The 11,627-nt window shown below is 39.1% G+C and overlaps 2 annotated features.

Annotated features, from left to right (window-relative positions):
• Positions 706-1,331: an enhancer, noted in NCBI's record as "OCT4-NANOG-H3K27ac hESC enhancer chrX:90205721-90206346 (GRCh37/hg19 assembly coordinates)". NCBI's record gives its function as "activates a minimal SCP1, AML or CMV promoter by ChIP-STARR-seq in naive H9 embryonic stem cells {active_cell/tissue: H9 hESC(naive)}" and the evidence as "EXISTENCE:reporter gene assay evidence [ECO:0000049][PMID:30033119]".
• Positions 6,697-7,585: an enhancer, noted in NCBI's record as "OCT4-NANOG hESC enhancer chrX:90199467-90200355 (GRCh37/hg19 assembly coordinates)". NCBI's record gives its function as "activates a minimal SCP1, AML or CMV promoter by ChIP-STARR-seq in primed H9 embryonic stem cells {active_cell/tissue: H9 hESC(primed)}" and the evidence as "EXISTENCE:reporter gene assay evidence [ECO:0000049][PMID:30033119]".

Raw genomic sequence — 11,627 nt, 5'->3', positions numbered from 1 at the left:
CCTTTGTATGGGAGCTGTTTTCACTCTATTTCACTCTATTAAATCTTGCAACTGCACTCTTCTGGTCCGTGTTTGTTATGGCTTAAGCTGAGCTTTCGCTCGCTGTCCACCACTGCTGTTTGCTGCCCTCGCAGACCCACCACCGACTTCCATCCGTACAGATCAGGCAGGGTGTTCACTGTGCTCCTGATCCAGTGAGGCGCCCATTGCTGCTTCCGATTGGGCTAAAGGCTCGCCATTGTTCCTGCACTGCTAAGTGCCCGGGTTCATTCTAATCAAGTTGAACACTAGTCACTGGGTTCCACGGTTCTCTTCTGTGACCCACAGCTTCTAATAGAGCTATAACACTCACTGCATGGCCCAAGATTTCTTTCGTTGGAATCCGTGAGGCCAAGAACCCCATGTCAGAGAACACGAGGCTTGCTACCATCTTGGAAGTGGCCCGTGGCCATTTTGGAAGTGACCCACCTGTAGGGGTGGTTTGCCCCTCCACACCTGTGGGTGTTTCTCGTAAGGTGGAACGAGAGACTTAGGAAAGAAAGAGACACAGAGACAAAGTATAGAGAAAGAAATAAGGGGACCCGGGGAACCAGCGTTCAGCATATGGAGGATCCCCCCAGCCTCTGAGTTCCCTTAGTATTTATTGATCATTCGTGGGTGTTTCTCAAAGAGGGGGATGTGTCAGGGTCACAAGACAATTGTGGGGAGAGGGTCAGCAGACAAACACGTGAACAAAGGTCTTTGCATCATAGACAATGTAAAGGATTAAGTGCTGTGCTTTTAGATATGCATACACATAAACATCTCAATGCTTTACAAAGCAGTATTGCTGCCCGCAGGTCCCACCTCCAGCCCTAAGGCGGTTTTTCCCTATCTCAGTAGATGGAGCATACAATCGGGTTTTACACCGAGACATTCCATTGCCCAGGGACAGGCAGGAGACAGATGCCTTCCTCTTGTCTCAACTGCAAGAGGCATTCCTTCCTCTTTTACTAATCCTCCTCAGCACAGACCCTTTACGGGTGTCGGGCTGGGGGACGGTCAGGTCTTTCCCTTCCCACGAGGCTGTATTTCAGACTATCACATGGGGAGAAACCTTGGACAATACCTGGCTTTCCTAGGCAGAGGTCCCTGCGGCCTTCTGCAGTTTTTGTGTCCCTGGGTACTTGAGATTAGGGAGTGGTGATGACTCTTAAGGAGCGTGCTGCCTTCAAGCATCTGTTTAACAAAGCACGTCTTGCACCGCCCTTAATCCATTTAACTCTGAGTTTGACACAGCACATGTTTCAGAGAGCACGGGGTTGGGGGTGAGGTTATAGATTAACAGAATCTCAAGGCAGAAGAATTTTTCTTAGTACAGAACAAAATGGAGTCTCCTATGTCTACTTCTTTCTACACAGACACAGTAACAATCTGATCTCTCTTGCTTTTCCCCACACCCACCGCCATCTTGGGAGCTCTGGGAGCAAGGACCTCCTGGTAACACTTTGACTCCATGTCTCACATACAGGGCATACTGGTGCAAAGGGTGTGCTCCCAAGGCCTTGGACAGCCCCACACTTGTGAATTTCCAGGTTCAGCCCCCACAGCTGCTTCTTATAGGCTCTGCAGCTTTTCCAGAAGCACAGTGCAAGCTGCCAGCATATCAACCATTCTGGGATCTGGAGGATGCTGGTCCTCTTTTTACATCTCTGCTAGGCAATGCCTCAGTGGGGACTCCATGTAGGGGATACAACCCTACATTTCCCCTTAATGCTTCTTTATTAGAGGTTGCCCATAAAGGCTCTGCCACTGCAGCAGGCTTCTGCCTAGACATTCAGGCTTTTCCATACATCTTCTGAAATCTAGGTGAACTCAACTCTTGCACTCTGTGCACCCACAGGCTTCAACACCACATGAAAGCTGCCAAGGCTTATGGCTTGCACCCTCTGAAGCAGCACCCTGAGTTTTACCTGAACCCCTTTGAGCTATGGCTGGATGGCTGGAACTGAAGTAACTAGCATGCAGGGAACAGTGTCTTGAGGCTGCATAGGGCAATGGGGCACTGGGACCAGCCCCGGAAATCATTATTCCCTCCTAAGTCTCAGGGCATGTAATTAAAGGGGCTGCAATGAAGGAATCTGAAATGCTTTGTTGGCCTTTTCCCCATTGTCTTAGATATAACCGCTTGCCTTCCTTTTAGTTATGCTGATTTCTACAGCCTGCTTGAATTACTCCCCTGAAAATTGGCTTTTCTTTTCTATCACCTAAGTGAGCTGCAAATTTTCCAAACTTTTATCCTCTGCTTCCCTTTTAAATGTAAGTTCCAGTCTCAGGCCATTTGTCTGTTCACATGTATAAACTTAGGTGGTTAGAAGCAGCCAGGTCACATTTTGGACACTCTGCTGCTCAGAAATTTCTTCCACCCAATACACTAAATCATCTATCTCAACTCTCTCAAGTTCAAAGTTTCTCAAAATCCTAGGGCAGGGGCAAAATTCCTTCAACTTCTTTGCTAAGGCATAACAAAAGTGACCTTAGCTCCAGTTCTCAAAAAGTTCCTCATCTTCATCTGAGACCTCCTTAGCCTGGCTTTCACGGTCCATATTACCATCAGCATTTTGATCCCAGTTTAAGCAGTCTCTAGGAAGTTCCAAATTTTCCCTCATTTTCCTGTCTTCTTCTAAGCCCTCCAGACTCTTTTTTTTCTATTTTTTTTTAGATGGAATCTCTCTCTGTCGCCCAGCCTGGAGTACAGTGGCATGATCTCAGCTCACTGCAAGCTCCGCCTGCTGGGTTCATGCCATTCTCCTGCCTCAGCCTCCCGAGTAGCTGGGACTACAGGTGTCCGCCACCACGTCCGGCTAATTTTTTTGTATTTTTAGTAGAGACAGGGTTTCACCGTGTTAGCCAGGATGGTCTCAATCTCCTGACCTCGTGATCCACCCACCTAGGCCTCCCAAAGTGCTGGGATTACAGGCGTGAGCCACTGAACCCGGCATGACTGTTACATAATTCCAACATTGCTTCTGCGTTTTCACGTATCTTGATAGCAATGCCACACTCCTTGGTACCAATTTCCTTTATTAGTTCAATCTTGCATTGCCATAAAGAAATACCTGAGACTGGGTAATTTATAAAGAAAAGAGGTTTAATTGACTCATGGTTCTGCAAGCTGTATAAAATCATGGCAGCATAATCTTCTAGGAAAGCCTCAGGGAACTTACAATCATGGTGACAAGTGAAGGGGAAGCCAGCACTTCTCATGGCTGAAGCAGGAGAAAGAGAGGGAGGGAGGAGGGACTACATGATTTTAAATTACCAGATCGTCCAATAAGTCACTCACTCACTCACTCACTCACTCAACACTCACTCACTATCACAAGAGTAGCACTGAAAGGGAGATGTTAATCCATTCGTGCCTCCAACACTGGAAATTACAATTTGACATGAGATTTGGTGGGAACACAGACTCAAACCATATCAGCCCCTGAAAGCAAATGCAACAAAAACAAAAATAAATACATGGGACCAAATTTAATTAAAAAGCTTCTGCAAAGCCAAAGAAATTATCATCAGAAAAAAACAGACAACACACAGAATGGGAGAAAATATTTGCAAACTATATGGTAAACAAAGAACTAGTGTCCAGAATCTACAAGAAACTTTAACAAATTAGCAAGAAAAAAAAAAATAATCCCGTTAAAAAGTTGGCAATTGACATTGTGAACTCAAAATATCTGAGACAGGTCTCAGTCAATTTGGAAAGTTTCTTTTGCCAAAGTTAAGGACATGTGCCCATGACACAGCCTCAGGAGGTCCCAGTGACATGTGCCCAAGGTGATAAGAGCACAACTTGGTTTTATACATTTTTAGGGAGACATAAGACATCAATCAACATATATAAGTTGCACATTGGTTCAGCCCAGAAAGGTGGAACAACTCAAAGCAGGGTTGGGGTTTCCAGGTCATAAGTGGGTGAAGGACAAACAGTTGCATTTCTTTGATTTCCTGATTAGCCTTTCCAAAGGAGGCAATCAGATATGCATTTATCTCAGTGAGCAGAGGGGTGACTTTGTATAGAATGGGAGTCAGATTTGCCCTAAGCAGTTTCCAGTCTGACTTTTCCCTTTAGTGTAGTTATTTTGAGGCCCAAGATTCATTTTCCTTTTATATTTCTCCCCTTTATAAAACCTTTCAGAGAAATCTTTTTTTTTTTTTTTTTTTGTCTCTGGTCTCAGGTTTCCTCTTATTTCTCATGGCCAGGGTGGTTTATTTCTAGATGGGTAGGTCCCATGTTATTAGACAAACTCACTTTTAGCAGGTTGTGAAGTCCAATGTTCTAGGAAGAGATAATAGAGGGAGAAAGAGAGAAAAAAAAATGAACAAAAAATAGAAATCCTGGAAAGTTGATATAGGCCATATTACTCTGCCATACATTAGTAGGTAGGTATAAAAGTGGCTTATACATGTAAATAGGTTGCTGTTATTTTCTTCTGTAGTTTAAGTTGTATGGCTTCTGTTTGCAGGGATTTAAGAAAGCACAGCTTAATATTCAATGATTTCAAATTAGAAAAAAATTGAGGGAAAAGAAAAGAAAGAAGGAAAAAATATAAAAATGTTATTTTGGAGACTTATAGCCAGGAAAAATTAGAATTCAGTCCAAACTACAAAATAATAAAAATGTAAAAACATTAGGCAAGACTAGAATCTAACAAGTTTGCTATAGTTTTTGAAACATAATTTTTCTCTCTTCAGTTTCCCATTTTTCAATTTTATTTTACTTGCTTTATTATACTTGGCCTGATTATAGAAAAGTGCAGGAAGAACAATTATTTTTTAAATGGGCTTTTTAAAAATTGGCTTTGATGAAACTTCGTTCCATAGAAGAAATCTCAGATAAAACTTTTTTAAAGTCGAGCCAAGCCATGGCTTTGTAACATCAAATACCTATGAGTCGGGTAAATTCCTCTGTTCTTGAGATCCCAAGATAATCTGGAGCTCCCAGGCCTGTCAGAAAGTGACATTCTTTACTTAGTACAGGTAAGGAGCCCTGTACAGGGACTGTGTAGACAAGGTATAAGGCCAGATTTCTCAAGGGGCTTTTATTGGCTCTATAAGTCAAGTTTGATTCCTTAGAAGAAAGCACTCTATTCCAGTCAAAACCTTGGTAAAATAACCAGTTTCTCCAACTGTGTTCTGTTACATAAAAATACAAATGGCCTAGACATTGAATGAATATCTATTATTTATCTTAATATAACTTTAGATTTTAAATTATAAGACAAGATTATCTAAAAGCATTTATTCCATTACATTTACCTAATTAATTAGTTTTTAAAAATAGTTTACCCAGATTACTTATGAAAACTGGGATAATTATTTAAAGTTATTTCCTTGTTGTCTATGTTTATAACCTGTGAATTTCAGGTTTTCCTCAGTAATAAATTTAAGTTTAGATAATTTTTTTTTGCCATTAACTCCGGATTTAGCTATTTTCATTAACCAAACAGTATTAACTATCTTATTTATTAAATTTTACATAAACAAGTATAATTTTCTTTTGAGCTGCATTTATAGCTTTATAAACCTCATGACAAATTTTGATATATAGCAGAGATAAATAATGTGCATTGACAATTCTGAAGCCATTTCTAATTCTATTTCATTAAAAATTCTAAAAACCAGCTTATTTAATAAAGATTTACTTAAGTCATGTGAACTTTAAAAAGCATTAGGCTCAAAGCCTCTATTTTTCTGATAAAGTATTTGATTTAAGCTTTTGTAAGCAAATTAATTAGAACTTCTTTATACATTTTTAGTATGAAACATCATATACATGACACATAAATGCACAGACGTATTAGACATGTAGATAGAAGTAGATCTTATAAATTTAGACCTCTATTTTTTCTCCTATTTTAGATTTCCAATTTTTTGATAACCTATTTTATTGCCCTAGGCAATTGTCAGCTAGATAGCCCTAAATGTGCATATTAAAGGAACTCTTTGGTGAAAAATCAGATAGCAAAATTTACATCTCAAAGTACAGAGAGAGTCTTGTGGTGCTAGAGAAAGATTAAAGATAGATGCCAAATCAAACATGAAATTATAGAAATATAGGATTGTATAAGGAGACCCATTTGTTTTTAGATAGGGACTATCTATCTTTTCATTGGATCCCTAAGCTCTAGGCAGAGCCCACATTGAATCCTGGGGCTCCAAAAAGGGAGAATTATTATGAGGCTAGACCACATGTTGCTTTTACAGTGCACTGAAAAAAATTATTTTAAAGAAAAACTTTTAAGTGTCTAAACTACACTCTTCTTTAAAAACTCAAGAATAGCTTCTGTTGTAATAACTATTTTAGTCAAAAATCAGCTAACACAAGCAGTTTAATATCTGAGCCAAACTTGTCTGTTTACACCCTTGGAGTACCATAAAGAAAAACAGAGGTTACGCCCCAGAAGGGAGTGTGGCACAATCTCCCCCCACTTTTTTTTTCTTTAAGAAATTTCAGGCTATTATAAACTATTTTAGGTCTCTCATGCAGCAGAGGGTGGCAAGAGAAAGGAGAGACAGCAGAAGTAAATGGAGAAACATAATTCAGTCAGCTGAGAAGAAAAAAACTTTTGTTCCAAAAAAAAAAAAAAGACAAGGTCCAAGGAGAGAAAAAGAAAAAAAATGAAGACCTTTTAATACAAACACACATATGCACCCATACACACACACATCTTGGATGTTAACTTTAAGCTGGCTTTTAACCATTGCGTTCCTTTAAAAAATCTTTTTAAATCTATTTGCTATATTTTAGCTAGAACAAATTGCTAATATTTTAAGAGTAACGAGTATCAAACTAGAAAGGGCTTGATTTAGGAACCAAGACAGGCTGTCCTGGTGGACAAAAAAAAAAAAAAAAAGGGCAACCAGAACCTTAGCTATGGAACTGCAGCATGGGGCAACAGCCATTGCTCTTTCAGTTTGGCTTGGCTAGCAAAAAGGTGGCCTTGTTATGTAAATAAAGCCCCTTAAGTAGTCATAATGTAAATCTTCCCTTATTTCTTTTGCTGGCCGTTTTCCTCCACACCCCACTTTTTTTTTTTTTTTTTTTTGGCAGAAATTTAGCCACTTCAGATGTCTTCTTCCCAATAATTTGGAACTTTCCTTCAGATTTGATGAAGTCAGATAGAGCTGGTAAAACCCAATGGGAAAAAGACTGAAAACAACAACCAAAACAGAAACAAACAGGTAACAGCAACAACAACAAAAAAAGCAGTTAAGCAAAACAAAGAAATGATTGAGCACTGTAATGGTAATGAGAAATTAAGACCAGCTGGTTGTTAATCTTAACTTTAGCTGAGACCAAACCCCAACTAAGCTACTGACATGGGGATGCGTCTCAGGCTGAGGACTGCTCTCTACCATCCTAGAAGCAGAAAAAATAACCTCCAACTTGCCTTCCCTTTTAGAAGTGAGCTCAAACTCCAGAAAAGAGTTATCTGCTTTGCATCCTCATGGAAGCAGGAAATCTTGCCTTCATTGTTGGAAGCAAGTAAAACTCCAGAGAAGGAGTTATACAGCAAAATAAACTGTCGATTTCAAGCAAATTTTGGGAGACTAGAGGTCCTCTGGAGGGAGGGTAGCTTCCAAGCCTCAGCAAATTGTCTTATAGGTTTGAGCCATAAAGATAGCTCAAGCTGGTACCAAGCCCCCATAAGAGATTTGTCAAAGGTCAGGACCACCTCCACTCAGAGTTCCTTCCGTTGGTCACCAAATACAAACTGAAAATATGTGAGACAGGTCTCAGTCAACTTAGAAAGTTTATTTTGCCAAAATTAAGGATGCATGCCCATGATGCAGCCTCAGGAGGTTGTGATGAGAATTGCCCAAGGTGATCAGGGCACGGATGGGTTTTATACATTTTTGATGAGACATCAATCAATATGTGTAAGTTGTATGTTGGTTCAGGAGAGACAACTCAAAGCATGAAGGAGATTTCCAGGTCATTAGTAGGTGAGAAACAAGTGGTTGCATTTTTTTTTTTTTGAGTTTTTGTTTAGCCTTTCCAAAGAAGGCAATCAGATAATGCATTTATCTCAGTGAGCAGAGGGATGACTTTGAATAGAATGGGAATCAGGTTTTCTTTAAGCAGCTACCAGCTTGACTTTTCCCTTTAGTGTAGTAATTTGGGGTCCCAAGATTTATTTTCCTTTCACAACATGAATAAACATTTCTCAAAAGATAACCAAGTGGAAAACAAACATATAAAAAATGCTCAGCATCATTAATTATCAGGGAAATGCAAATTAAAACCACAATAAAATACCACCATATTCCTGTAAGAATGATCATTATTAAAAAGTCGAAAGAAAAAAAGATGTTGGCATAGATGTGGTGAAAGGGGTATTCTTCTAAACTGCTGGTGGGAATGTACATTAGTACAAACTATCGAAAACAGTGTAAAGATTCTTTAAAGAACTAAAAGTAGATCTACCATTCAATCCAGGATTCTTACTACTTGGTATCTACCCAAAGGAAAATAAGTCATTATATGAAAAAGACGCATGCACAAGAATGTTTATTGCAGCACAATTTACAATTGCAAAGATATAAAACCAATCTAAGTGTCCATCAACCAATTAGTGGATTAAAAAAATGGGGTATATTTACACTATGGAATACTACTCAGCCATAAAAAGAAAAATATTGTCTTTTGCAGCAGCTTTGATGGAGCTGGAGGCCACTATTCTGAGTGAAATTTGGTAGGCCAAGTACTATATGTTCTCCCTTATAAGTGTGAGCTAAGCTATGAGAATGCAAAGGCAAACACAGTGATATAATGAGCTTTGGAGACTCAGACGTGGGAGAGAGGAAGAGATTTGAGGGATAAAAGACTACATATTGGGTATAATAAACACTATTTAGGTGAGAGTTGCATTAAAACCTCAGAATTTACAACAATATAATCTATCTTCGTAGCCAAAAGCATTTGTACCCCAGAAGCTATTGAAGTAAAAAAATTTTTAAAAACCCAAAATATTCTCTGAGAATTAGCAACTATTTTGCATGAACCCTCTTTTGTAATAGTTCCAAAATTATAATTTTCTAATTCTATTTATAGGTTATTCCTTGATATTCTATTTATGTATCTATTTATTAATAGGATGAACTCATAGGTTTTTATAATTTATCCACTGGTTTATAATTTATTACTATACTTACTTTGGTATTAAATTGCCCAGATTTGACAGTGACACATTTTTCAAGGTAGAACCTCTCTCATTGTACCACATTCCCAACCTATCAAGATGTTCTAAGTTTATTTTGGACCCATACTGCAGCAGGCCAGAAATCAGATGCTTCTGTCAGGGAACCCTCGTTCCTTATAGAATAGTACTAGAAATCAAAATTTAGGTGTTAGTTGTGCCCATTGCTGTTGGAATGACTTTGCTTCTAGGTTGTCTCAGTGCTAGGGATAGAAAATATATGCCTGTTAATACACATATGTACATGTACACATATGTACATGTACACATACACTTTCATGAATATGTTCAGATGGATAGATAGATACATAGATAGATAAATAGACAGACACACAGATACACAGATAGAAATATTTTATACTAATACCTCTAATACCAGTCCATCCCCCAGGGTTCATTCTTGATTTAACACATTTTATATTTGTATTTTTCTTCTACCATAGTGAAAAACCTGGTTCAGTCAATCTGTTTTAACCACAAATATTTATAATTTTCAAATATTTGTGTTGGGCGTTCCCAAGTCCACTTTTACATTCTGAATCACTGCATTAGAAGCTGTTATTCTTATTGTTATCGTTTGTTACAGAAAAAGGATACAGATCAGAATGAGTAAAGAGGAAAGGGGCATAAGGCCATGTCCAAGAGAAACCAGATGCAGCATTCTCTTCTGTGTTAGTCCATTGTGCATTGCTCTAAAGAAATACCTGAGGCTAGCTAATTTATAAAGAAAAGAAGTTTATTTGGCTCACAGTTCTACAGGCTATAGAAGAAGCATAGTGATCACATCTGCTTCTGGTGAGAGCCTTAGGATGCTTACACTCATGGTGGAAGGTAAAAGGGGAGCAGGCATGCCACATGGCATAAAAGGGAGAAAGAATACGGTGATCCCAGTCTCTTTAACAACCACATCTAATATGAACTCACTTACTGTAGAGAGGGCATCAAGCCATTCATGAAGAATCCTCTTATGACCCAAACACCTACCATGAGAGCCCAACTCCAACCTTGGAGATCATATTTTGATATGAGATTTGGAGGGGAAAATATCCAAACTATATTCCTCTACTCCTAGCCCCCCAAATCTTATGTTCTTCTCACATAGCTAAATGCAATATATTTCCAATAATCCCAAAATGTCTTAACTAATTCCAGCATCAACTCAAAAGTCCCATTTTCCACCTAAATTTCAGAGGATGTATGAAAACGCCTGGATGTCTAGGCAGAGGTCTGATCCAGGGGTGGAGGCCTCATGGAGAACATCTGTTAGGGCAGTGCAGAAAGGAAATGTGAGGTCAGAGGTCCCACACAGAGTCCCATCTGGGGCACTACCTAGTGGAGTTGTGAGAAGAGGGGCACTATCCTTCAGAATCCAGAATGGTAGATCTACCAACAGCTTGCACCATGCACCTGGAAAAGCCGCAGGCACTCAATGTCAGCTCATGAGAACAGCCACAGGGGCTGAACCCTGCAAAGCCACAGGGGTGGAGCTGCCCAGGTCTTGGGAACCCAGTCTTCGCATCAGCATGTGCTTGATGTGAGACAAGGAGTCAAATGATATTATTTTCGGGCTTTAATATTTAATGAATGCCATGGCTATTAGGGATTTTTTTTGGTTCCATATGACTTTTAAAATGATTTCTTCAAATTCTGTGGAGAATGTTAATCATAGCTTAATGGAAATAGCCTTAAATCTATAAATTACTTTGGGCAGTATGGCCGTTTTCATGATATTGATTCTTTCTATCCATAGCATGGAATGTTTTTCCCATTTATTTGTGCTCTCTCCGAATTCCTTGAGCAGTGGTTTGCAGTTCTCCTTGAAAAGGTCCTACACTTCCCTTGTTAGCTGTGTTCTTAGACATTTTATTCTCTTTGTAGCAATTGTGACTGAGAGTTCATTTATGATTTGTCTCTCCACTTGCCTGTTGTTGGTGTATAGAAATGTTAGCAATTTTTGCATAGATTTTGAATCCTGAGACTTTGCTGAAGTTGCTTATCAGCTTAAGAAGATTTTAGCCTGAGATGATGGGGTTTTCTAGATATAGGATCATGTTATTTACAAACAAAAATAATTTGACTTCCTCTATTCCTATTTGAATACCCTTTATTTCTTTCTCTTGCCTGGTTGCCCTGGCCAGAACTTCCAATACTATGTTGAATAGGAGTGGTGAGAGAGGGCATCCTTGTCCTGGGCCAGTTTTCCAGGGTCATGCTTCCAGAGTTTTCCATTCAGTATGATACTGGCTGTGGGCTTGTCATATATTGCTTTTTTTATTTTGAGATATGTTCCTTCAATACCTAGTTTATTGAGAGATTTTAACATAAAGGGATGTTAAATTTTATCAAAGGCTTTTTCTGCATCTATTGAGATAATCATGTGGT

This window comes from Homo sapiens, chromosome X, assembly GCF_000001405.40.
Source record: "Homo sapiens chromosome X, GRCh38.p14 Primary Assembly".
NCBI classification, from domain to species: domain Eukaryota; kingdom Metazoa; phylum Chordata; class Mammalia; order Primates; family Hominidae; genus Homo; species Homo sapiens.
This window is presented reverse-complemented; position numbering and strand designations above follow the sequence as displayed.